We start from the raw sequence: 27,193 nt of genomic DNA, 5'->3' as shown, positions 1-27,193 counted from the left end.
TTTCTAACTAAGCTGTCTACCTCCCCACTTCCTGGGAGAAGCCAGAGTGATTTTTAATAAACGTTTTACTGAAAAAACCATATATACAGAAAAGGGCATATATCTTAAATATACAGCTTGACAGACTGTCAACAAACTGAAACCAGTCATGTACACAGTGCCCTGATGAAGAAATAGGATAGCGTCTTTACCCAGGAAGCCCCCCTCTGTCCCCTCCCTGTTACTGTTCTCCCCAAAGGTAACCTCTGTTAACTCTGGAGTGATGTTTAAAACTATCAGCCAGATTTAGTCACTTTCCTCCTTAAAACCCTCTCCTATCATTTGGATATGGTTAATTTGTCTCTACCAAATCCCATGTGGAAATTTGATCCACAGTGTTGGAGGAGGGCCTATTCTGAGGTGTTGGGTCATCGGGAACTTATGGGTGATCCCTCATGAATGGATTAATTGCCTCTCTCCAGGGTGAGAAGCTGTCACTCTATTAGTTCCCTCTGGGTATTAAAAAGAACCTGGCATTTCCTCACTTTCTCTCTTGCTTTCTTTCTTGCTGTGTGATCTCTGCATATGCCAGCTCCCCTTCACCTTCCATCATGAGTGGAAGCAGCCTGAGGCCTTCTCCTGATACAGATGCCCTATTTTGAACCTTCCAGGCATCCAAAATCATGAGTCAAGTAAACAATTTTTCTTTATAAGCTCAGATTTTCCTTTACAGCAACACAAAAAGGATTAAGATACCCTCCAATAACTTCCCATTGCTCCTGAGATAAAACGCTTTTTACCATTTTGTGTCAAACCTTTGCCTCTGTTCTTGACTCATCTCCCTCCTGTCTCTCCCCACTCTATTACACTGGTCCCCCTAAAAATTCCTAGAGCATGCCAAATTTCTTTTTGGCCCCAGGACCTTTGCACATACTTAGCTCTTTGCTTGGAGTGCTGTTTCTCCAACTCCTTTCCTCACTTTGGGTCTTAACTTACATGCTACCCCTTCAGCAGGATCTTCCTTGTCCACTTCTGTCATGTTCCCTATATTTTTCTATATTGGCTTATCATTGTCTATAATATCTTGAGTCTTTATTTCCTTTTTCTTGGTTGTTGCTTGTCTTTCCACTTGAATGTTCACTCAAATGAAGGAAGGGACCATGTCTGACTTGTTCGTCACCATATCCTCAGCCCCTAGCACAAGAGTAGCTAAATAAATATTAGATGTAAAAAATGAAAAAAATGTATACTGAGTGTGAATATCAAATCTTGAGGGACTAAAGGCTGGAAGTGAAGTCAGGTCTCACAACTAAGTGCTCAGAGTCGAGATCAGGCCCGGTTTTGGTGGGTGCCTGTGGTTCCTGAGTCTTGGAGGTGTTTGTGATCTTTGTATCTGGAGAGTTTCGAAAAGCACGCACTCCCAGTTTCCATCCAAGCAATCAGCAAGAGGACTCAGCCCTAAATCCACTTGGATGTGTGGGAGGTTCATCCAGCCACAGTCTACTGTCTTTATTATTTTCCTATTTATAATGAAGTCTGGTCCCTTTCCCATACAGTCCTGATATTATTGCTCACATGACTGCAATCACTGCATTATAGCACTTGCCGCCTATCCATTGCTTTATTGTGTCCTGGAGAGCAAGGAAAACAGCAGAGAAAGGGAAAGCGGGGAAAAAAAAATAGAAAATGGGAAAACTCAGTAAGGGCTTGAGCTCTCAGATAACTCCTTGGATGCAGCCATCCAATTATTATGGGGTAGTGGGGTCTGGTCTTAGAATTTAAGTGACTTCATTCTAGATTAGTGCTGAAGGCAATGCATTGGGTGAATGCATTTCTTATTACTTTAAACTAGGGACTTAAAGAGGATAAGGTTATTTGCATCTTTTCGAAGCCTTTTTTAAATTTCAGACCTTAAAATTTTATTTTGATTGTCCCATTGCGTGGCTCAGAGCAGTGATTTTAACACCCTTAAAATGGTATGTGTGGTGAGATGTTTATTTTGCTTTTCACATTATTGGCTTCAAATACATCCTCCCTCTATCCCCCACGCCAACCCTGCCTCTGTGCGATGCTAGGGAATTTGGAGTGCTTTATTTTTGAAGAGGTCCTTATAAGAAAATAAGGGCAACTCTGATTCAGAAGACCTTTGAGGGGCAGATTTCTTATCTGTCCTCAAGCCCCCGCCCCCAACCCTGTCTCGAGTCACATGTTTCAGTTCTCTATTGCTGCATAACAAATCGCCCAAAACATAATGACTTAACAATGTATTATTATCTCTCATGGTGCTGTGGGTTGACTGGACTCAGCTGGGCACTTCCTTCTCTGAGGTCTGTGATGAGAATATGGAAGGATAGCATTGGGATTGGCGTCTTCCAAAGGCTCAACTGGGCTGGCAGTTGATACTGGGCATCAGCTTGGCACGCAGCTGGAACTATCAACCAGATTGTCCACAAGTAGCTTCTCCATGTGGCTTCAGCTTCTCACAGTATGGCAGCTGAGTTCTGAGAGGGAACATCCTCAAAACTAGAGTTCCAAGAGGTGGAAAACAGAAGATGCCAGGCCAGTTAAGAGGTATGCCTGGAGCCAGCACATGACTTCTGCCATATCCTACTGGTCAAAGTGGTCGGAAGACCCACCCATCCTCAGGTGGATAGAGAGACTCTACCACTTGATGGGAGAGTGTCAAGATCACCTTGTAGAAGAAATGGAGATGGGAGATATTGTTGCAACCATCTTTGAAAAATACACTATGCAACATTTTCACTCCCATTTCTTCAGCTTTCCCTGCCTGCAGTTATTCCAAAAGTCAGTGTGCTTTGGGAATGATTCCCTACACGGAAGAATAACCCAACATTAATTCACTAATGATCTCTGACATTTTAAAGGTATTACCTAAGCAAATATTAAGCATGTCAGATTTAGATGCCATTTCTTTCCAAACTTGACACCTTCTTCGCCTCATCCCTCTTCACACACACAGCTATGTTACGAGTTTTAAATTGTTTTTCTGGACTCTGTTCAGGAACCGAGTTCCTGATGATTTTCCTCTTCTTGTGTTTAGATTACCCTAGTGTGTAAACCTGTTTTAATTTCTGCTGGCACTGTGTAATTGCGATATTGATCCTTTAAGCTGAGAACAAAGTGCCTGTTAACGTGGCTGACTCCATCTGCCTATTGAGACATTAACCAGGAGGCTGATCTTGATGTAAAATGACTGCCGTTTTTAATTTTTCGGTTACACCACTTAGTCTAAATTTTCTCAGCCCAGTGGAAGGTGATGTCTTGTATTTTATTTCATTCTTTCAACCAGAGGATGTGAAACTCTTCAAGTTGTATTGCCACTTTACTTTATGGGAGATATTAGTCAAGTGAATGGGTTAATGCTTATTTTTCTTCTTTTCCTTGCTGCCTTTTTCTTTCAGCAAACTTTTCTAAAGGTGGTGAATAGTTGGGAAGATGAAATGTCCATCCTCAGCCGACTAGCTGTCTGCCACACACCCCAGCTGCATATCAATCCGAGACTATTTTCTTCCTTATTTGACTCTGTTTGGAGGGTTTGGGTCATCTGGCATCTTCATTTCACTTGAAAATTCTTTAAAGCAGTTTATATTCTTTCATCTGTTTAAGTAGAAACAATTAGAAAAATGTTTAAGAAGTTAAAAATACTGGCCAGGTGCGGTGGCTCACACCTGTAATCCCAGCACTTTGGGAGGCCGAGGCGGGCGGATCACCTGAGATTGGGAGTTCTATACCAGCCTGACCAACATGGAGAAACCCCATCTCTACTAAAAATACAAAATTAGCTGGGCCTGGTGGTGCATGCCTGTATTCCCAGCTACTCGGGAGGCTGAGGTGGGAGGATGGCTTGAACCTGGGAGGCGGAGGTTGTGGTGAGTGAAGATCATGCCATTGCACTCTAGCCTAGGCAACAAGAGCGAAACTCCGTTTCAAAAAAAAAGAAAGTTAAAAATATTTTACTTAATTTTAATTAAATGTTTACTTTCCCACAAATACGTCTGTCTCCCCTCCCTCCCTCCCTCCCTTCCTTCTTTCCTTTGTTCCTTCATTCCTTTTTTTTTTTTTTTTTTTTCTTTTTTTGAGATGGAGTCTCGCTGTTGTCAGCCTGGGCTGGAGTGCAATGGCGCGATCCCGGCTCACTGCAACCTGTGCCTCCCATGTTCCAGCAATTCTCCTGCCTCAGCCTCCCGAGTAGCTGAGATTACAGGTGCCCGCCATCACGCCCAGCTAATTTTTGTATTTTTAGTAGAGATGGGGTTTCACCATGTTGGCCAGGTTGGTTCGAACTCCTGACCTCAGGTGCTCCACCCACCTTGGCCTCCCAAAGTGCTGGCATTACAGGTGTGAGCCACTGCACCCGGCCACATATGTCTCTTTCTAAACTGGAAGAAAACTGGATGGAGGAGCATTAACCCTTTACTTTCTTTTTGTTATTTTACTGAACATTTGCACTGAAAAGCATGGGGCTACAGGGCTCCTGGGAAACTCAGTCTAAACATTGATTTTACTGAAGAGGCTTAGAGAGGGCAGGTGGTTTGGGCAGAGGAACCCAGAAGTTAGGTAGCTGTCTGGGTCCAGAGGAGAGACCCTTTGACCTCTGGTTCATGCTGTTCCTACTGCACCAGTCTGCTGCAGTTGGTTGTTGCCTCATCTTTTGTTTGGTCTGGGGCAGCCTTGGCTTGTCCAGGCACAGTCTGTCTGGGGCTGCCTCCCCAGGCACCTGCCCCTCACCCCCTGAACCTGTTGCATCCTTGTGAATGATGGGCTTCAGTGCACACCATTCCTTGACAGTGGAAACTAGCACCTGGAGTGCCGAAGAGTGTATTAATCTGAGGGTGGACTTGCTTAACCACCCAAGAATGAAGAACTCCCACCAAGAGTCAAAGGAGAAGGGAACCAACTATAATTGAAATCCTGCCATGAGCCATGATTATATGCTGTCTTATTTAGTATTTATTTTTACTTTGCCCTTTGGCATTCCTTAGAGGCTGCAAACATGAAGAATTTTATGTGATGAGTCCATGAGAAAGAGCAGAGAAGGCTGGGTGCGGTGGCTCACACCTTTAATCCTAGCATTTTGGGAGGCTGAGGTGTGTGGATTACCTGAGCTCAGGAATTTGAGCCAGCCTGGGCAACATAGTGAAACTTTGTCTCTACTAAAAATACAAAAATTAGCCAGGTATGGTGGTGTGTGCCTGTAGACCCAGCTACTGGGGAGGCTGAGGCATGAGAAACACTCGAACCCAGGAGGTGGAGGTTGCAGTGAGCTGAGATTGTGCCATGGCACTCTAGCCTGGGTGACAGAGTGAGACTCTGTCTCAGAAAAAAAAAAGAGTATCAGAAGAGAATGAACTACTGATCTTCATGGAGTCGGTAAAGCTATTGGTCCCTATGAAGGGGGCTGGGGAAGTGGGGGAGAGATGAAGCTGGAAGCAGTGGAGTCCATATATATAGACCAATGGTGCAAACTTAGCATGCGTCAGAATCACCTAAAGGGTTTGTAAACGCAGATTGTAGACCCCTGTTACTGATTCAGTAGGTTTGAGGTAGGGCCTGAAAATTTGCGTTTCTAGTATGCTTCTACTACAGACCTAGCCTAAACGCTCTTTACCCATGACCTTGCTTACACTCTACCTTCCCCTGTCCATCTGGATGTGTTTCCAGACCTCAGAGGCCTGGGCTAAGTTTGCCTCACAATGCCTGCTTTTCTTCTTGGTAAGAGGACCTTGGAAACTAGGGGTCCCTTTGATATTTTGTACCCCAGATTGACCCGGTACTTGAAAACAATATTCTGTGTGAGAAACAATTGTAGGATAATTTGAGATAGGTTGTAATTAAGTCCACAGCAGTCACCACACTCTTTGTTGGGCATCTGCTGTGTGCATTATCTATTTAATACTCACCACAACCTTGCAAGGTAGATGTTATGTTGCCCACATTTTATAGATGAGGGAAATGAATTCTGCGAAGAGTCTGCTCTACTGAATTATGGAGCTGGGATTATACTTTTGTCAGTCTGTCTGCCATGTTAGTCTTCTCACTGACACTGTGCAACTGTTTTAGAAGTCTGCAGAGCAAAAGCATTCCCAATGTCAATGACAGGAGCAATCATGGAAAGTTCCATCTATTTAGCTCCAACTCTGTGCCTGGCACTGTGCTAAGCATTTTAATATGTCTCACCACATTTAAACCATATTATTACCTTGCAAGGAAGGCAGGTGTTATTTCTGTTTTTCAGGGGGGTTAAATAGCTTGCCTGGGGTCATAGTTGGTAAGTGGCAATATTGGGTTTGGAAGCTGGGTGTAGCCTGGACTCTTAGCTGCTTTGTTATGTTGATTGACTGGATCACACATACCCCAAGATTGTTGTCTGGGACCTCAGGGGGTGATGTTGTAGCTGGTGGCACTGGGGGTTCGGGAAGCAGAATAAGTTTGGGGGCAGAAATGGGTTCCATTTGAACATGGTGAAGTTAAGGAAGTTCATCAGAATCTTGCTGAAGGCCCTATTGTGTGCTGGGAGCTGCATTCGAGGTGATGAAGGGACAGGGCAAGACTCCAAATGTTGACATTTTTAGAGCTTCATTCTGTGATCCAGCATGAGTCATTCAATTAATAAGTCTTAGAATTTACTTGGAAGTAATGATCATCTTTCTTCTGTTGCCTCACTACAGAGCATTGGAGATTAAGATAACTTCTGGAATTTATGAAAGTGCTAGAAAAGTTACAAAGTGCAATTACTGTGGCAAGCGCGTGTGATGTTTAAAGCATCTGCTCTCCATGCATTACTTTGTGATATTTGTTTTCCACAGGATATTAGATGAGAGATAGAAGTTAAAATCTTATTGCGGTAGATGTTATTTCCTAAGAGGAGTTGAAAATGAATCCAGAACAGGATTTTCACATTATATCAGTGTTTTTTTGAGATTTTTTTCATTATTACTACCCTAAGGAATCTTTTTAGTTATTATTATTATTATTATTATTATTACTGATCTCCCCTCTCCATGAAATGAAATGAAATAAGATTTTGTTGTGCAGGGTTGAGCTTTGGAGGGTCACAAACCACGATAATATCTGAGATTATTTGGCTCTCCATCCTAAGAACAATTTTTGCCCCCTTGGGGGTGATATTGCCCCCATTGAGGATGCAGGATTTATATAAAGCATTGTAAAGTCAAAGAATAGAGGGTCCAAAGTGGGGTTTTATGGCAAGGGTGGTAATCCCTTATCATGGCTGCAGTTAGCTTTTGGTGTCATCTGAAAAGGGTCTCAGCCTCTCAGCAAGTTTCCTAAAATTTGTCTCTTGCATCTCTTGTAACACCACGTTCTTGGGAAAGAGATTTGTCTCAGCCAGGGGCTTTATCAAGAGTGTAGGTTCCTATTGTACTTACACTCTTGGGGTCTCTAACCTCACAGGGCCAGTTGTCTGACCGAAAATCCCCACCCATGATTTTGGAGGAAGGTGGGACCTGGAGGTGTTGGGTTGGGGAGTTGGAGCCATGGGGCTAGACTCTGTCCTCTGCATTGGCTGGTGGACCAGGTGACAAGGGGTGAGTGCTCACCAACGCCAGTGGGGACGGGGGATCTGAGAACATCTGGGGGCAGGTGCATGGGTTTTTGGGGTGTGTGGTTTGGCAGATGGCACGAGTTGGGTTGGCAGGTAGTAAACAGGGGCTTCCTGGTCATGGAAGCCTGACATTCATCTCTGGTCTTTTCCTTCCCCTACTTAATCTCATCTCTTTCCCTCCAGGTCTTCCTTGCCATCAGTTATAATGCTCCTCTTGCCTTCATTCTTTCTTTCTAAATTATTTTCTCATTTTTCTCTCTGTGTCTTAGTTTTGCATCCCCCAAAGTACACCTTGAGCCAAGGGTTTGGGTTTAAGTAGTTCATTCTGGAGGTGATCCCAAGAAACCACAGCTGGAGAGAGGGATTGTGAGACAAGGAAGTGAGGAAAAGCCCACAAAGAGGGTTAACCAGGGGCTCCTGCCATAGGTACCAGCGTGCAGTCCTGCTGGAACCTCCTGAGAGACTCATAATTGCCCACCAAGGTATAAGGAAGTAGGGATGATTCTCCACCATCTGTCACTTCCAGCCTGCTCTGCACCCACAGCCACAAATTGCCATCACTCTGGAGATGCAGGTCGCCCCTGGTGGTGGCAGGAGCTTTCTGCAGGCGCTAGGCTTTGGGGAGCACCAAAGGGAGGTGGGCGGCTCACTGACGCTGTCATACTCTGTTCTCTCTCTCTGACTTTTTACATCTTAATGTTGAAATAAAATAAATATTTTGGTGGATTTATTGAAAATACACTTATGTCTCCTATTCCCAATGTAAAAATTAGGTCAGCTGAATATTTTATTTTCCAAAACTAGTTGTACACATTTAAAAAGATGTCTGGGGTCTCCTCATAGGAAGTGTATGTGTGTGTGTGTGTGTGTGTGTGTGTGTGTGTGTGATGTGTGAGTGAAAGAGACAGAGAGAGAGAGAGAGATGTCCAGTGAAAAGCTGGTCTTATTTCAAATGTAAGTACATGAGACATATGCTATGGTCTGAATGTATGCCCCCTGTATTAATATGTTTAGACTTCATCAGCAATGTCATGATATGAGGCGGTGAAGCTCTACCCCCATGAATGGATTAGTGCCCTTCTAAAAAGGCTCAAGGGAATTAGCTAGGGCTCCATGCCCTTTTGCCCTTCTGTCCCTTCTGCCATGTAAGGACACCTAGATGGTGCCATCTATGATGAATAGGTCTTTACCAGATGCTGAACCTTGATCTTGGACTTCCCAGCCTCCAGAATTGTGAGAAATGAATTTCTGTTGTGTATAAATTATCCAGTCTCAGGCATTCTGTTATAGCAGCACAAATGGATGAAGATAATCAATAATCTGAGACATGCAGCTGACACCCTTGATTGTTTTTGCCCTCTTCAGAGAATTGCCCCTACTCCCATGACTGTGGGTGGCTGTCTCCCAGAGTCAGCCCCATGCCAGCAGCTGAATGGAATAATCAGACCCAGAACTCTTAGCCTGTCCCATATTGTGCCGTCTCCCTCCCACTACTTGTAACACCTGAGCATCTGTGGATTATGTAGATTGTGAACTCCATCTTCTGACCTTCCCTTGAAATATTAGACAAAATATTTGACAAGAGTAACATGATGCTAGTTATGCTGTATTGAGAATTTACTACCTGTACTGTGGTATTTCACCATATTACATCATTTAATCATTAGAGCTATGAGGTACGCATTAAAATCCTCATTGTACAGTTTAGGAGACTCAGGCTAAGAAAGGCTACATAGGTAGTGTTGCCTCAGATCATTGCAGTTGGGTGGAGCTGGGATTTGAACCCACATCCACAGACTCCAGTCCATGTTCCTGCCCATAATACTATGCTGATTCCCAGCGTGTGAGCTAAAAGTGATCAAGAGCTTGCTATTGTGGTTTTCATTGCAAAGAGTCTTTTACATACATCATCTCATGGAATCTCCCCCCAGCAAATCCTGCGAGGTCTGTATTTTACTTCCGTATTATTGTTAAGAAAACTGAGGTTCGGAGCACTTGAATTTTCTTATCTTTGTATGCTTCAGAGGTGATGCTATGTAAATCAGCTTTCAGCTTGGTAATGAGCATGTGTTTATGTGGCATTAAAGCATCCTGCTAAAAAGGAAAAGGTAGCCACATGTTTGTTTCTTTGTACCAGAAATTTCTTAAACGTGCCTATTATCTGAACTTTTGGAAAAATTATTCGGATAATTGGTGGAAACTTTTGCTTTGCCTGGGAATTTTAGTATTGTATTTTTTAACACCTTAGCTACTATTAATGCCATCCCAACACACAGCCCCACACATGTGCACAAGAGTGATAGACACGTTTATGTGTATTTGCATGGGAAATGTCATCTTCATAACGTAGCCTAGGTTCTCCCACCTGGGCACCTTCCCTCTTTGCGCTATTATGCCTGTCTGGGTGTCCCCCAGTGCTTTTATATTGTTCTGTCATTGTCTGGTTTTGTGTCTCTTTTCCCCATTAGGCTGTGAGGTCCATCATGGCAGGGCCTGGAGATGAGAGCCGTTTATGTCCCTGACCTCTAACACAGAGCTGGAAATGAAAGAGACATTTTGTGATAGTTATGGAATGAAAATTCTGTCTGGATACAGCCCTAGGGCTTGGGGGAATCCTTCAGGTTCTATGTCAAGGCCTAATGTTTTGATGATACTTGATCTTGCCTCCTTAGTGACTGTTCTTTTAATTCATAAACAGATTTGGCTGTTCCCTGAGTTTAAGGCAGCCCCTATACTGACTCGGTGCAGTGATTTTACATTGTGTGTATATCCTTTCTTTCTTTCTTTTTTTTAAATTGAGACAGAGTCACCCTGTTGCCCAGGCTGGAGTGTAGTGGCGCGATCTTAGCTCACTGCAACCCCTGCCTCTTGGGTTCAAGTAATTCTCCTGCCTGAGCCTCCAGAGTAGCGGGGATTACAGGCGTGTGTCATGATGCCCAGCTAGTTTTTGTATTTTTAGTAGAGATGGGGTTTTACCCTGGTTGGCCAGGCTTGTCTTGAGCTCCTGATCTCAAGTCATCCACCTGCCTCAGCTTCCCAAAGTGCTGGGATTACTGGCATGAGCCACTGTGCCCGACACATTGTGTCTATATTCTTGAATTTATAAAGGGGTTGTCCTTGCACAGGTAAACCTCCCTCTATGTAATACACATTGTGCTTCCTTCCAAGATTAATACAATGAATGCATGGATATTGATTGAGTCCCTACTAGATGTAGGTACCATGTGAGGTCTGTGGGAGCTCCCAAGGCAAGTGTACCCTGGTTCCTGCCCTCCAGGTACCCACTGGGCTAATAGAAGAGAAGTCCCAAGACCAGAAATGATGACCATGCGAGGAAGAATCAAGGGTTACAGGGATACAGAGAGGGGTGGCTTCTCCTGTGGCTGTTGCAGGCTGTGATGGCAGCATCAGAGAGTGTCCTGGATAAAGAGCTGTTAAAGATGGGCCTGAAAGACTGGCAGGATTGGAGGCACAAGAATGGAGATGAGGATTTTAGACAGAAGCAGAGACCCGGAGGTGCTGTGGGCAATGTGGGGCTGGGACGTGCCATTTGTAAAGGTGGAAATTAGGAGGTAGGGATGGAATACTTGTGTGGGCAAACTTGTGGATATCTTTGAAGAGGTGGGGCTGTCTGGGGGAAGCAAGTTGTCCTATCAATGTACCTTTCTGACACCTGCAAGAAGTAAGCTCAGAGCAAGGAGGAAAAAGGCCTTGAAGAGCATTAGCCCAGAGTACACAGACTTGTGTGTGGGGTCCATTCCTCCTCCTAATTTGCTGTGTGTCCTTCAGAAAATTGCTTCCTTACTCTGGTCCATGCTTCTTTGATCTGTGGCTAATGGGACACCATTCCTGACTTACTTATTACACAGGGTGCTGTGACATTCAAAGCAGATGGTGGATCTGAAATTATTTTGTGAACTATGAGATTCCACATAATATAGGAAATCATTATTATTCTTTTCTGAACCTGGGGTATAGGAGGAAGATTTAATCGTATTCCCCTGCTCATGATATAAAATACATTATTATTATGGTGAGATATCCAGGGTGTGTGTGTGTGTGTCTTGGGGGTGGAGGTGAGAATGCTGTCACACTGCCATCACCCGAGGTAGACATGGCACAAAGAGGGGGTTTGGACTGGCTGATTCAGGGATCTTTTGCAAGCCTGGCATAAATCCTGCATATGCTAGAGTCCAGACCAATGTGGTATACTGCAGGGCTGAAAATTTGTGGGCGGCAAGAGAAATACCTGTCAGAATGATTGAGGGCAGTTCCCACTACAGAGAGGGGAAAGGAATCAAAATAAGAACCACTTAAAAGTTTCTGAATGCTAGATATGCAATTATTGAGTGTCTAATGTGCCACTAAGCCCAGGGTCCTGGAGTGCGAATGCTTAAAACATGGCCTTTGTAGACAGTCACTGTGCTTAGCGTTTATTCTGGAGGTAATTTTTTGCTTTAACGTATAATTTGGTTTGCTTCAAACCATGGGGTCACTTTCCAACAGTATTGCATCGATTTTTTATCCTGGTAAGGACACATTCCATCAGGTCAGGGACACATGCTGGTTCTTCGGTGAAATCTTTGAAGATCCTAAGGAAGACCTCAAACAAAAAAAAAAAAAAGAAAAAAAAGAGTTGTCACCTTTTGAAGAGAGGGCTGGCTTATGAGGGAGCGCTTCTTATTTAACGAATACTTAGTTACCTGGCACTCTTAGGGGATTGGGTAATATTCTACGTACTCTGTTAATATGAATATTCCTAATGTACAAAATGATCCTGGGAAGTTCAGTTATATCCATTTTACAGATGAGGAAACTGAGGCAGAAGGGTTGAGTCACATGGCCAAGGTCTTTCAGCTGGGACCGGAACCTAGGCTGTCTGGCTCTAAGGTCTGTGCATTCAGCCAATATGCTGTGCTGCTGCTTCATGGCTTTAAGCAAAAAGAGTCTTAGCTGCAAATTAAATATTTGATGTTGGTAACCATGAGTCTGTGATAAAGTTCCAAATTTTAGCTTGTCATCAGTCCCCTTGGAGCTTCCTTCCATCTCTGGGGATGGCTGGGCCGGCTGGCTCTGTTTCTCTACTCAGAGTTCTGGAGGGACCTTGGTGTTCTGGCCTTCCTCACGTGGCTTCGGGGGATGGAAGCTGGCGAAGGGGACTGCCAAGGCATAGCCTGGGGGTCATCTTCGGAAGCCTCCCTGCTTGCTTTGTACAGCCCGCGCACTGTGCTGCACTTGCATCTTGCATCCATATTAATGTAAGCTGATTTTCATGTAACAAGAGAAGTTTTGGGGTTGTCAGAGCCACACAGAAGATACTTAAGATCATAAAGACCCCTGTGCTGTTTCCTCTAAGGAGCTGTGGCTGGTGTTCAGCTATCCTGTCACTGTCTGGAGGTGTCCTTTGCCCTCTGGGCTTAGGTGTCTCCCTCTTCCAAGAATATGGAAAAAATGATTCCTGTGTTCCTTTAGGCTCTCAAATTCTGAGAGTCAGGAGAGTGCAGTGTCTGTCACTGTGGAAGAGCCTGGCTGCCCAGGTTTGAATCCCAGTACTATCCATAACCAGCTATGTGACCTTAGGCAAGTTTCTCAGCATCTCTGTGCCTCAGCTTCTGCAACTGTGAACTGGGAACCATCATGGCATTTTATCACAGTATCATTCTAAGGACTGAAAGAGTAAACAGTGCCCGGCATAGAATGAGTGCCTTGTGTTAGCTCATTAATGTTCTGTGGCCATTAACTTCACTTTCCTATATCATCATCAACTTTGTTGTGATGGCCACCATTTTGTTGGGGCTTGTGGGGCAGGTACTCACAATGACTCTGGAAGGTCCATCTGGTTTAACCCGTTTTCTGAGTGGGGAAAAAGAGGGTTAGGGAGGTTAGGCGACCTTCCTGAGATTACACTGCCCAGAAATGACAGAGATGGGATTTGAGCATGAGTTTCTCTGATCCTGTAGCTCAGGCCCCTCGCCACTGTCCAAGTGTTCCATACTTCCACTTCCTGGCTCCCTTACTGTGCATTGCTTGGAAGCAGGGACTGTCCAGGCCCAAGTGTGGTTGAATTATGCCTTTGCAGAGGCCAACGCTCATCAGCAACTTAAATAAAACTGGTTTGGCCTCGTGTTCTGTGTGCTCCTCTGCAAGTAGATTTATGGTCGCTGAGGCCTTCTGGTGCTCAGAAGCTTTGGCTTTTTAATTTAATCTCCTCCAAACTTACCTCGGGCCTTCATCCTTGCAATCCTGCCTGTGTGCTGGGCCACAGGGAGCTGGACCCCACACCATTGGATTTATGCTGTCTGGAAGGGGAGCCTGGGGCCTCCAACCTCCTCAGCTGGCAGCCTGCCACCCACATCCCAGAGGGATCAGGGGCCTCCTCTGTCCCCACATGAGGACTGTGATGAGCTTCCCTGCTCCCTGCAATGCACTAGATTCCAGCCCTCTCCAGCCAGGCCCTTGGGGATGGGGGAGGTGAGGGATTGTCTGGCCTTCTCAGTGCATCTGGATCTGGAAGGGCCCTGTTTAGTATTCCAGGCAGGCATGCTGGGCTTCTGGCCTTACACAGGCAGAGCTGTGGATGGGGGGCGGGAGCCTGCTGAGCTGGGGAACCGGCCAGGAGTGGAGGAACCCCCTCTGTCAGGAGCCCCAGGAGGAGGAGGGGCCCAGCTGCTGAATGGGGCGCAGAGCTCCTGCATGAGGATTAGGCCTTACTTGCCAGCAGCCTCTTCCCAAAGCTGACTCCCCAAGGATGTTTCTATGCTCTCACTTGGGATCACCAGCCCTTCCTCACATGCTGGGCTCTCCTAAGAAAGGAGCCTGTGAGCCTACAGGTTCTGATACTGTTAAGAAGAGAAGGCAAATGATCCCATCCCTGTCTGAAGTCAGGTGGTGGGAAGTTTTCAATCTAAAGAGCCAAATAGGGTCGGAGAGAGAGGAAAAGAGGAGGGAGAGGGAGAAAAGGAAAACAGAGAGACAGAGAGAGTGAGGGAGCAAGGCGGGGAGATAGAGTAGAAGAAGGGGGAACAGGGAGAGGCAGAGAAGAGAGGGAGAGAGAGGAGAGATGGGGAGAGAGAGAGGGAAAGAGAAGGGAGAGAGGGAGAGAGGGAGAGAGGAGGCAGGTGGGAGGGGAGAAAGCGGGAGGAGAGAGGTGGGGAGAGAGGGGAAGAGAGAGAGAGGGAGGGTGGAAAGAGAGAAGGAGAGAGAGGGAAAGAGAAGGGAGAGAGGGAGAGAGAAGGCAGGTGGGAGGGGAGAAAGCGGGAGGAGAGAGGTGGGGAGAGAGGGGAAGAGAGAGAGAGGGAGGGTGGAAAGAGAGAAGGAGAGAAAGGGAGAGGGAGAGAGAGAGGGTGGGGGAGAGAAAGAGGGGGAGGAGAGAGGTGTGGAAGAGAGAGGAAAAGGGAGGGAGAGGTTGGAGAGAGAAGGAGAGGGAGAAAAGAGCAGAGAGAGAGAGAGAGGAAGAAACAGAGACAGAGAGAGGAAGCAGGGAGAGGGCAGGGAGAAGGGAGAGAGAAAGGGAAGAGAGGTGGGAGAGAGTCAGGGAGAGAGATCGGTGGGGGAGAGAGAGATGAGAGAGAAGAAAGAGAGGAGAGGGCAAGGAAGGAGAAAAGTAGGGTGAGAGATAGCCGGGGGGCTGGGAAAATTTGCAAGGTGGGTGGGGAGCCATGCAGACATGTCCAGCCACATGGGGCCTTCTGGTTTGAGTGTCCAGAAACACAAATGTTGTGGGCCCTAGGCCTTGGGTGTGATCACAGGTGCTGAATTCTGAACCCCATCTGGCCACTAACTCTGACGAGTCACTTAACCTCCACACTCTTTAGTTCTCAGCTGTAAAACTGAAAAATAATAATAGTGATTTACCTCTCAGTGCTGGTGGGAGAAATGACTAATGGCAGGTGACAGGGTGAAAGTACGAGGTATCACTGGGTGTGAAACTGCTTGATGAGAGGCCACCCTGCAAGTGGCACTCAGGAACCAGAGTCTGGGGTGCACCAACCCAGCTCCCAGATGGAAATGGGCTTTGTCTCTCCCAAGGCAGAGGTGGCTGGCATAAAAGCTCTCTCCAAGGCTCCCAAATGGGCATGACACTCAATATCCAAAATGCAGAAAGACCTCCCCAGACACTGGTCCTGCTCTTTTTGGTGGCTGGAGGCCTTTGCACACCTCTGTTTCCCTCGCTGCTCATGCCTTTCCCCCTGAACACCTGATCATCCCTCAACGTTCAGCTTAAGCATCCCCTTCTCTTAGAAATCTACCCTGGTAACCTGCTTCATCTTCTTCCATACTCTGTGCACACCCCTGTTAGCCCCTTTCCACAGCCTGTCTGTAATCCTTCGTCCATTTATTAGCACTCATTATGTGCCAGACACTCTTCTAAATGCTGGAGATGCAGCCATGTGTAGACAGATGAGGCCCTATAGAGCTCCCGTAGTAACAGGGAAGCCAAACAATAAACACCTAAGGTGATAAATAAAGAGAAGAGGCCGGGCATGGTGGCTCACACCTGTAATCCCAGCACTTTGGGAGGCTGAGGCGGGCAGATACTTGAGGTTGGGAGTTTGAGACCAGCCTGACCAACATGGAGAAACCTCATCTCTGCTAAAAATACAAAATTAGCTGGGTGTAGTGGCACATGCCTGTAATCCCAGCTACTCAGGAGGCTGAGGCAGGAGAATCACTTGAACCTGGGAGGTGGAGGTTGCGGTGAGCCGAGATCATGCTATTACACTCCAGCCTGTGCAACAAGAGCGAAACTCCGTCTGAAAAAAAAAAAAAAAAAAAAAAAAGAAAGAGGCCGGGTGCGGTGGCTCATGCCTGTAATCCCAGCACTTCGGGAGGCTGAGATGGGTGGATCACGAGGTCAAGAGATGGAGACCATCCTGGCCAACATGGTGAAACCCCGTCTCTACTAAAAAAACAAAAATTAGCTGGGCGTGATGGTGCAGGCCTGTAGCCCCAGCTACTCGGGAGGCTGAGGCAGGAGAATGGCGTGAACCCGGGAGGTGGACGTTGCAGTGAGCCTAGATCGCGCCACTGCACTCCTGCTTAGCGACAGGGCAAGACTCCGTCAAAAAAAAAAAAAAAAAGAAAGAAAGAAAGAAAAAAACAGAGAAGAAATAGGATTGTGATGAAGTGTCTGAAAGAAAGGAACAGGATAGTGGGAGAGAATGACGGGGATGGGGCTCATTTTTAATGGTGGCCTTTGGGGAGGGTTTCCCTGAAGAAGTGGAATTTAGGCTGAATCTTGAAGGTTGAGAAGGAAGAAGGCTTGTGGGAACCCCAGAGAACAGCATTCCAGGAAGGGGAAATGGTCAGCACAGGGGCCCAGACATGGAAAGAGTAGCTTGGTGTGTTCAGGGACCTGAGAGGAATATCGTCATGGCTGGTACATACTGGGTCAAGGGAAGAGTGGGACAGGGGCCAGATCACCTGCATCTCCAGGGCCATGGTTAGGGGTTTCGATTTCATTCCATAAGTGTAATGGGAAGCCAGTGGGGCATTGGAGCAGGGAATTGACATGAAGTGTTAACTTCCCGAGGATCACTCTGGCTGCTCTTGGAAAATAGATCAGAGGGATGTGGAAGAAATTGGAAGACTGGGCCCAGAAAGGACTTAACAGACCTGTTGTGTGTGTGCATGCGTGTGAGCATACACCTGTGCATTCACAAGGCTTCATGTTGGTAAGTTCTAGACACTGGATTTTCTCAAATTCTTTTCCCTTTTGGGAAACAATTCCTATTTGCAAAAGCTGAACAAGTTATTGGGAGACTTGGAAGAAGGGAGTAGAAACAGTCCAACGTACAACTAAAACTTTCTTGGATGTTTGGAAGACTTTGAATATATGCACATTGTAAAGTGGAAGTAAAGTTTTGGGTATTTGACACCCACCTGCCCTGATACCTGAAAAGAGATTTGTGTATTTTATGGGGTGGAAAAGGTACTGAAGTTTAGAGTTCATAAGCACGTGACATAACTGGGATGTCCACCAATCTCTCCTCCTCGATACAGCCCCTCACTTGAGGTTTTCTTTTAATGTTTGTTTTTGTGTAAATAATACATGCTTGTTATGTAAGATTTAAAAAGTGACCATCTAATAATGAACCTTCCTTGGGATTCTGTCAACCAAGGGCATACACTATTAGCACTTGATATCCCTTTTTTCTCTATATTTAGCTTTTTAAATGTACAGTGTAATCATTGTATATGTGTGTGTGTTAACTTTTCTAAACTTGTCTTCCCAAACAACATTATAAAGCATTGCCTCATTGTATCAGTCAGTATAGGCTAGGTTAGGCAGCAGTAACAAATAATCCCCAGATCTTAGAGCCTTTACACAAGGAAGGTTTTATTTCTCGTCAGTCTCATGTCTATTACAGTGAACTGGGCCTCTGCTGTGGGTCCTCTTTATTTGGCAACCCATGGAAATGGAACAACTGTTATCTGTTATGTTGCTGGAAAGGAAGAAGAAGGAGGAAAGAAAACTCTGGAGTGTCTTGCGTCAAAATTCACATGTTTTAACGTGGAAGTGAGATATCACTTTCACTTCAGTTTAGTGGGCAGAACTAGTCACATGGTTGCACTCAACCACATAGGGGCCAAAGAGTGTGATTCCATCGTATGTTTGGGAAGCTGAGAGCCAAAAACATTTGGCAAGCAGTGCTAATGTCTACATAGTATTTGTGTCTCTCCTTAACACAGTTACTATTACAAAATATTATGTATGTGGAAAATACAGTTCTAAATACTACAATGCATATTTCTCACTTTATATCCTGGGACTTTTCTGTATCTGGCATTTGGGAAGCCTCCTGCACAGACATTCTGATGTAATGGACATCTGGAAATGCCAGACCCATGGGGCAGCCCTTGGTCAATGGGGGATGGAAGCCGATGAGTACACATTCTCATCTTCCTTCTCCCAGGCAGATAATTCTCAGAGTGGGATGGAGTCTCGTTTGTCCCCTGTGGGGATCCACTGTGTGCTACACTCCTGGATTGATTTTTCTCTCCTTTGCTGTTCCACTCTTCCCAGTTTGCCATACTGTCACTTGGAATCACTTCCCCAAATAAACCACTTTCCCATGTGTCCTTGTTGTATGCTTTGTTTTTTGAGAAAACCCAGGCAAGACAGGGATGAATGTCTCTGCAGTGAGAACCGTACCCCATCCCAGAACTGTGATGAGATGAATTTGCTTTCTTGATCACTCCATCAGTTGCTAGACTCAGGGCATGTTATGTTTGATTTTGCTGGCCTGTGACCTTATTGTACAGCTTCTTATATTCTAATTGTCATTTGCTTTTCTTGTGAGTGGAGGAAGCGGATGTCTTCTTCACCGAATCATGAATATCTCACCGTTGTTCAATTGCACGCTGTGAAGTGCTCTCCTACCTTCCTCCTGGGACCATGAGCTCATCATCATCTTGGGGCTGCTCTTCTTGCGGTCCTGGAATTCTTCTCTTTCTAGAATCCCCAACCTTCTTTTATTCTTGTATTCCTTTTCATTTTGTCTCAGTCTATTCCTAATTAATATTTTATAAAATAATAGGTATGTGGAAAACTTTTTGTTCTTAAAGGCTGAAAAAATCTCTTTTTCATCCTCACATTCTGTATGTGTGTGTGTTTGTGTGTATGTGTGTGTGAGAGAGAGAGAGAGAGAAAGAGAGGGGGGAGAGAGAGAGAGAGAAATAGAGAGAGAGAGAGAGAGAAAGAGAGGGGGGAGAGAGAGAGAGAGAAATACAGAGAGAGAGAGAGAGAGACTCTAGAAAGCTAGAGTCAAAATAATTTTCTCCTTGACATTTCAAAGTACATCCAGTCGTCTTCTAACATTCAGTATTGCTAATTAGCTCAGTACTTAAAATCCCCATTCCTTCATGGATTACCTGTTTTGTCTGCACGCCACTTCTCTCAACACACATACATTGGAAGATTTCAGGGTTTGTTTTTTTTTTGAGATGGAATCTCCGTCGCCCAGGCTGGAGTGCAGTGGCGCCATCTTGGCTCACTGCAACCTCCGCTTTTCAGGTTCAAGCGATTCTCCTGTCTCAGCCTCCCCAGTAGCTGGGACTACAGGTGCCTGCCACCACATCGGCTACTTATTTTTGTATTTTTAGTAGAGATGGGGCTTCACCATGTTGGCCAGGTTGGTCTTGAACTCCTGACCTCAAGTGATCTGCCCGCCTCGGCCTCCCAAAGTTCTGGGATTACAGGCGTGAGCCACTGTGCCCAGCCAGGATTTTTTAAAAGGTATTTTTCATTTATCCTGTTCGGCACTTGATGGACACTTTGCATTTTCTTTCTTTCTTCATTTCTGTGAAGTATATATATATTTTTGGTAATTATTTCCTCCTGTTTATTTTGTCTATGATCTCTCTAGGAGCATCTAGTAGATGGATATTTGTTTCATGGTATGGTCTTTCATGTGTCTGTTATTTTGTCTATGTTTTCTAAATATTTCTCCTCGCTCTATATTCTAGGAAATTTCTTTAATTTTTTATTTCAGCTTTTCTATTGATATTTTTTCCTTTGGCGTTCATTTTAGCAGGCATGTTCTTAATTTCTGTAAATTTGTTACTTCTGAGTTTTAATTGCTTTTCAAAAATAGTCACCTGTGGCTGGGCGCGGTGGCTCACGACTGGAATCCCGGCACTTTGGGAGGCCAAGGCGGGTGGATCACGAGGTCAGAATATCAAGACCATCCTGGCTAAAACGGTGAAACCCTGTCTCTACTAAAAATACAAAAAAATTAGCCAGGCGTGGTGGCGGGCGCCTGTAGTCCCAACTACTCAGGAGGCTGAGGCAGGAGAATGGCATGAACCCGGGAGGCGGAGCTTGCAGTGAGCTGAGATGGCGCCACTGCACTCCAGCCTGGGCGACAGAACAAGACTCCATCTCAAAAAAAAAAAAAAATAGTCACCTGTTCTTGTTCTATGTGTATAAAATCTCCTTCAGTATCTTGGAAGATATTAATTAAGGGTTCTGTGAAAGTTCTTGTTTGTGTCTGGATTCTCTATTTTTCCTGGAGTCAGTTTTATGGGTTCAGCTTACTTCTTTCTTTGGTATTGTTTGCCTCCACCAGCATTAATGATTTGGATTGTTTATTCATTTTAGGAATGTAGAACTAGGTGGTGGCACAGATTGCTGAGTAGTTTTGTTTGTCCACGGGCAGGTGAGTTGATTGGCGGATTTCACTTGGACATTTGTGGAACAAAAGCAGGCAAGTTGTGCTGCTCCTCATGCTAAGCCAAAGAGGAACATATTTTGGGGTGATAATCCCCACTCTGGAAATTTAAGCACCTTCTTGGAAGATTGTTAAGGATCCTTAGTGGTTATATTTCCTGTTTCAGCCTGGGAAAATTCATTTGCTGCTCTTGGGGGAAGAGGTGAGAGGTGATTGTTGAGTAGACTGGGGGAGGCCAGCCCATGGACTCTTCCTGCAGACAGCCTTCACCATTGGTGCCCTTCCTCCAACTCCTGGTATCTGTATCCACCCATGCTGGTGCTTCCATGATGGGAAACAGCTTCTTTCTCCTCACCATTCCACCTCCCTCTCCTTCTCCATTTGCCCTGGTTCTGCTACCAGCACCACCTCACCTGGCTTCTGTTTTATCAGTTCACAGTGATTTTATGATATTGTCTCACTTGTAGTTATTTACTGGGATATCAGTGAGTTTTGGGAAGAAGTGGGAGGTGAACACATGTCTTCAGCTGGTCTTCACAGACTATTCTTTGCAGTCATGATTTGAAACCAGCCTGACCAACATGGAGGCAGTTTATATTAGCAATGCCTCATTGTTGGATGTTTAATTATTTTCTGATTTTCTCTTCTCAAACCATGAGGCGCCTCTGTGTGTATGAGTGACTTATTATTATTTCTTTGGGATTGATTGCCAGAAGTTGAATGAGGTTAAATATAACGATGAAGAGTTCACACCCTCAGTGAAGCATGTACTAGCTGGTGGTTTTGAGCAAGTGCTTAGTATCTCTGAGCCTCAATTCCTCATTTATTAGTTGGGGATAATAATAGTCTTACTCATAAGATTGGGTGCATGGATTAAAATCAATAAATAAGTAATGCATATTCTGTGGTATTTGGCCCTCAAATAAGCTTTCAATTAATAACAGCTGCTATTATTATTATCCATTATTTTATCCTCGCAGCAGGGAGGGATTAATAACTCTATTTTATGAGTGAGAAAAACCAGATTTAGAGAATTTATCACTTTCTCCAGCCATTGCTCCCCTCTCCTTGCCGAGCTACTTGCATAGGAGTCAGGATCTAGAATCTAGAACCTCTAGATTCTAGGAATGCTCTAGAATCACGACAGATTCAGAGTGAGAAGTTCTTCCCTGGATGATGACAGTTCGAGACTTAAATTATTATTCAGAGGTGAGCATTTTTCCAGGATGGATGTTCTGAAAGTTTCGCAGATCCACTGGTAACAAGCAAGGTGTGCAGACCACAAAAGATGGGCCCGGCAGAGTGTGCTGGAGGATGGGTTGGGCAGAGGGTTTGAGCACCTGGGTCATCAAGCTCTGTTTGGGTGACCCTGCTGGGGAATCTCTAGGGCAGTAGAGTCAGAGTTAAAGGGCCAAAAGTGGGAATTTGATTTCAGAACCATCTCAACCCAGAGTCTGTACTTTCCTGATGGTGTTTAGAAGTTGAATCATTCCTAGCAGTGAACTTGGTGTAGCCACACAGGGCACTCAGTAAATATTTGTACAATGAGGAGGTGCAGGAGTGGATTCACGATGATGTTGGAAACTCCACTTTTAGAAATGCTTTCAGAGCCAGTTTTCAACACACACACACACACACACACACACACACACACACACACACACACCCCAAAGCAAAACAAAACCTAACACAATATAACATTTTGGGAGTCTTTTTCTGAGAAATTTTCTCAGTGAGATTGTTTTACTCTTGAACTAAGATGGTATTATTCATGTTGACTACTGATCAGATTGCAGTTCAGTCAAGTTGAACCAACAGGTTTAAATTTTTTTAATTGGCACATAATAACTGTACATATTTATGGAGCACATAGTGATGTTTCAGTATAATGTGTAGTGGTTGGATCCAGGTAATTAGCATATCCATCGTCTCAACATTGATCATTTATTTGTGTTGGAAATGTTCCGTATCCTCCTTCTAACTCTTCGAAACTAGAATATTTTAGTTAAGTACAGCCATCTTACAGTGGTATGGAGTAGAACTTACTCCTCTTATCTAGCTGTAATTTTGTAACCTTTAATGAATCTCGCTCCCATCCATTCTTCCCCTTCCCAGCCTTCAGTGTCCTCTGTGTTGTGCCCCCACTGAGTACCCTGCCCTGTGCTTGGGCCACAGAGCTCCATAGGCCAGTGTTTGTGTCCTGGAGTAAAAGCTCATAGGTTAGAGCTTTGCTTTTAAAACCATCGCCCTCCCTTTTGAAAGATGAAGATTCGTCCCTCCTTTAATATATGAAGAAGGTATTGAGTGGCTCAGAGGCCCCTGAAAAGAACAATGTGGGCAAGGTGCAGTGGCTCACACCTGTAAACCCAGCACTTTGGGAGGCCGAGGCAGGCAGATCACTTGAGGTCAGGAGTTTGAGACCAGCCTGGCCAACATGGTGAAAGGCTCTCTCTTCTAAAAATGCAAACATTAGCTGGGCATGGTGGCACATGCCTGTAATCCCAGCCTCTCGAGAGGCTGATGTGGGAGGATCACTTGAATCTGAGAGGTGGAGGTTGCAGTGAGCCAAGAGCACACCACTGCATTCAGCCTGGGCGACCCTGTTTCGGAGAAAAAAAAAAAAAAAAAAAAAAAAAGGACGGACAGTGTGAACAGTGACGAAGAACCTGGTGGGTGTGAGGCCACCAGCACCATTTTGAAGTCTCGGTTCAATATTGGTTAACAAACAAAATCAATGCAATGACATGGATAGCTCTTAAAAGATTAAGTGAAAGAAGCCAGAGTCAAAAGCTACAGACTGTATGATTCCATTTCTGTGACATTCTGGAAAAGAAAAAACTATAGAGACAGAAATTAGATTCATAATTCTGGAAAAGACAAAACTGTATGGACAGAAATTAGATTCATGGTTGCCAGGGACTGGGGAAATGGGGAGGGGCATTTCCCTGCAAAGGGGCATGAATTTAAGAAAGTGATGGGAACATTTTATATCTTGATTATGGTGGTGCCCACACAATTGTATATGTTTGTCAAGATTCATAGAACTGTACATCTATAAAGGGTGAATTTTGCTGTATCCAATAAACCCAGAATAAATTAAAATAAAACCAGTGACATTCCTTAATAGGCACATCTCTTATACCCAGTTCTGCTGGCATTTACCTACATTTACTATTAGAAGAGCAATTCTTCCCTCCCAGCCCCCGGTTATAACAGTAGGATTAGTAAGCTCTAAGCCTGCTAGGTTTTATTCAATAACTTTGTATGGATATGACAACACAGAGTCGTGGTCCTTATTCACAGATTTAAAGTGTTTCTAGGCATTTTTGAATCCTCAAAGGAAGATTATGTTCAAAATGGTTTTAAGGTTGAATGTACTTTGTTAGTTTTTGGTCTTTTGAAAATTAGTAATTCACGCTTGGTGGCTTGGATGACTCCCTATTACTGAGTGCAAATTATTCATCAGGCCAAAATACCCAGTCCCCTCTAGTTAAAGGTTTTGCTTTGGCTGTCGATGTTAAAGTCATTTCTGAAGTAATTCAACACAGTACGTGTGATCTTTAGCATAAAACGGTGGCATATGATGTGCAGTTAAGTTATTCTTTTGTAAAATGTTGCATTCTTAAAAGGATGTAGGGTGGGCTTACACATGCAGTGTCATGGTGTAGAAGAAACATGACTCTGGTTGGGACTTCTTAGTTTTTTCTCGTTTTGGATGAGTTGAGTGAGGGCGCCCTTGCCTCATTCTATTTGGACTTCAGTTGCCTGAGGCACCTATTCACAGCGGGTTGGTTGGCCCTTGTATGCCTGTCTAGACAGAGGCAAGAAGTTTGGTGGTGACAGAGAATAAAGATCAGGGAAAGATCATTTGAGAGGGAAAATGGGTGCAGGGAAGGGAAGCTCTTCCTTTGGTCTTGCCCTTTAGATGCTTGTCTTGGGCCATCGTGTAATTCCTGGACCTCTGGTTCCATGTTCAATGATACCCAAAACTGGCAAGTGACTGTTTCCTTGAAATGTCTTTCCTCTTTCAGTTGTGGGGGGGTGGGGAAGACAACTCTTTTCCAAACTCCTACAAGCCCTTCTGTGTGTTTGTCCCTTAGGATCCTTAGCGCTCTGTACTTTGGGTAGAGTGTTTGTTCTTAGATTGTAAGCTTAAGGGGACACAGCAAGATGCCTGATATGGTTTGGCTGTATTCCCACCCAAATCTCATCTTGAATTGTAGCTCCTGTAATTCTCACATGTCGGGGAAGGACCTGGTGGAAGGTAATTGAATCATGGGGGAGGGTTTTTCGCGTGCTGTTCTTGTGATAGTCGATAAGTCTCATGAGAACTGATGGTTTTATAAAAGGGGAGTTCCCCTGCACCTGCTCTATCTTGCCTGCTGGCATGTAAGATGTGACTGCTCCTCATTCACCTTCTGCCATGATTGTGAGGCCTCCCAAGCCATGTGGAACTGTGAGTCAATTAAACCTCTTTATAAATTTCCCAGTCTCGGGTATGTCTTTATTAGGAGCTGAGAACAGACTAATACAATGCTTTTCACATAGTTGGGGCTCAGATAATACTTGTTGGATGAATGTGCTTCGGCAAGATTCCCAGATTATATGCTAATAGAGTAGCATATAAACAGTTTTTTGTGATGGGGTGGCTTTGTCATCACTAGCCAAACACAAAACTACTTGAATGCCATACACCTTGTAGAGTTTGGTGTAGGAGCAAAGGATGGTTGTAAAAGAATGAGATGTTTCTGAATAGCCTTGATGCTGGCCCAGGAAGCACTGTGAGAGGAATGCGGTGACAGCTGTGCATCCATGCCTCCTAGCTGCTTTGAGGAAGGGCCCTGGAAGCTCTGCAGTTCTTCTCTGGAGTTTAATAAAACCAACAGTTACCCTGCGAGTCAATCTGGAGGCAAGTAATTTCTTCAGTAATTCAACAATGTATGTATGATCTTTAGCAGAAGGGAAGCTTTGGTATCTAATCATCACTACTGGGAAATGTTAAGGTAGTTAAAGTTAGATTATACTAGCTGTAAAACACCTCATGGTATGTTATTACTTTATTAAAATGAATTTGTTTATAAAAGCAAATACCTGTTGCTTATCAAAGAGAAAAATACAGAAAGGTAGAAAGAAGAAAAACCCATAATCCTGTCATCTAGAGACAGCCATATTTAATATTTTGTTGTATTTCCTTCTGATATTTTTGTTCTTTTTTCTCCCTTAAGATATGGTATATACATAAATTTCATATACTTATCTACATGCTTATTTTTTTCTGATTATAAATATAGTAAGTGCACCCACTAGAATGGATGTAACAACAAGAAGAACAATAACAAACGATGATTAAAAGCATGTGTTGGCAAATGATATGGTTTGGCTCTGTGTCCCCTCCAAATCTCATTTGGAATTGTAATCCGCACATGTTGAGGGAGGGACCTGGTGGCAGGTGATTGGATCATGGGGGCGGTTTCCCCCATGCTGTTCTCATGATAGTGAGTGAGTTCTCATGAGATCTGATGCTTTAAAAGTGTTTGGCAGTTTCCCCATTGCTTGCTCTGTCTCCTACCATCATATGAAGAAGGTTCTTGCTTCTCCTTTGCCTTCTGCCATGATTGTAAGTTTCCTGAGCCCTTCCCAGCCATGCAGAATTGTGAGTCAATTAAACCTCTTTCCTTTATAAATTACCCCATCTCAGGTATGTCTTCATAGCAATGTGAAAATGGACTAATACAGCAAAGATGTGGAGAAAGTGGAACCCTCACACAGGGCTGGTGAGGATGTACAATGGCATGGCCACTTTGGAAAAACAGTTCGGCAGTCACTTAGAAGAGTTAAATATAAATTTACCATATTACTCAACAGTTTTACTCCTAGGCATCTACCCAAGAGTAATGAAAACCTACGTCCACAGGAAGACACAGGTACACAACAGTGGAAACAGTCCAAATATCCATCAGCTGGCAAATGGATAAGCAAAACATGGCACATCCATCCAATGCAATACGATTCAGCAAGGAAATGAAATGGATGGTGACACATGCAGCCACATGTATGAACCTCAGAAACATCATGCTAAGTGAAACAAGTCAGAAAAGACCACATCTTGGATATTTCCATGTATAGGTCATTTCCAGAAAAGGTGAATCCATAGAAACAGAAGGTAGATTACTGATTGCCTGGGGTAGGGGTGGGAACAGGGATGGCTGTGAACAGGGATGACTGTGAACAGGCATGAAGGATCTTTTTGGAGTGATGGAGATATTCTAAAAACTGTATTGTGGTGATGGTGTGATTGTTGTACAACTCCGTAAATAATAATCATTAAATTATACATTTAAGGCTGGGTGCGGTGGCTCATGCCTGTAATCTCATCACTTTGGGAGGCCAAGGTGGGCAGATCACTTGAGGTCAGGAGTTTGAGACCAGCCTGCCGAACATGGTGAAACCCCGTCCC

The 27,193-nt window shown here is 44.5% G+C and overlaps 1 protein-coding gene across 6 annotated transcripts in view, besides 1 other annotated feature; it reads left to right on the top strand.

Moving 5' to 3' along the window:
* PTPRT (protein tyrosine phosphatase receptor type T) overlaps positions 1 to 27,193 on the top strand; it is a 1,158,017-nt gene that overhangs the window by 79,171 nt on the left and 1,051,653 nt on the right. The gene's annotated exons all lie outside the window — the stretch shown is intronic.
* Positions 5,796 to 6,295: an enhancer, noted in NCBI's record as "H3K4me1 hESC enhancer chr20:41733081-41733580 (GRCh37/hg19 assembly coordinates)". NCBI's record gives its function as "activates a minimal SCP1, AML or CMV promoter by ChIP-STARR-seq in primed H9 embryonic stem cells {active_cell/tissue: H9 hESC(primed)}" and the evidence as "EXISTENCE:reporter gene assay evidence [ECO:0000049][PMID:30033119]".

This window comes from Homo sapiens, chromosome 20, assembly GCF_000001405.40.
Source record: "Homo sapiens chromosome 20, GRCh38.p14 Primary Assembly".
Lineage (NCBI taxonomy): Eukaryota > Metazoa > Chordata > Mammalia > Primates > Hominidae > Homo > Homo sapiens.
The sequence above is the reverse complement of the archived record's forward strand: the minus strand, read 5'-3'. Positions and strand labels throughout refer to the sequence as shown.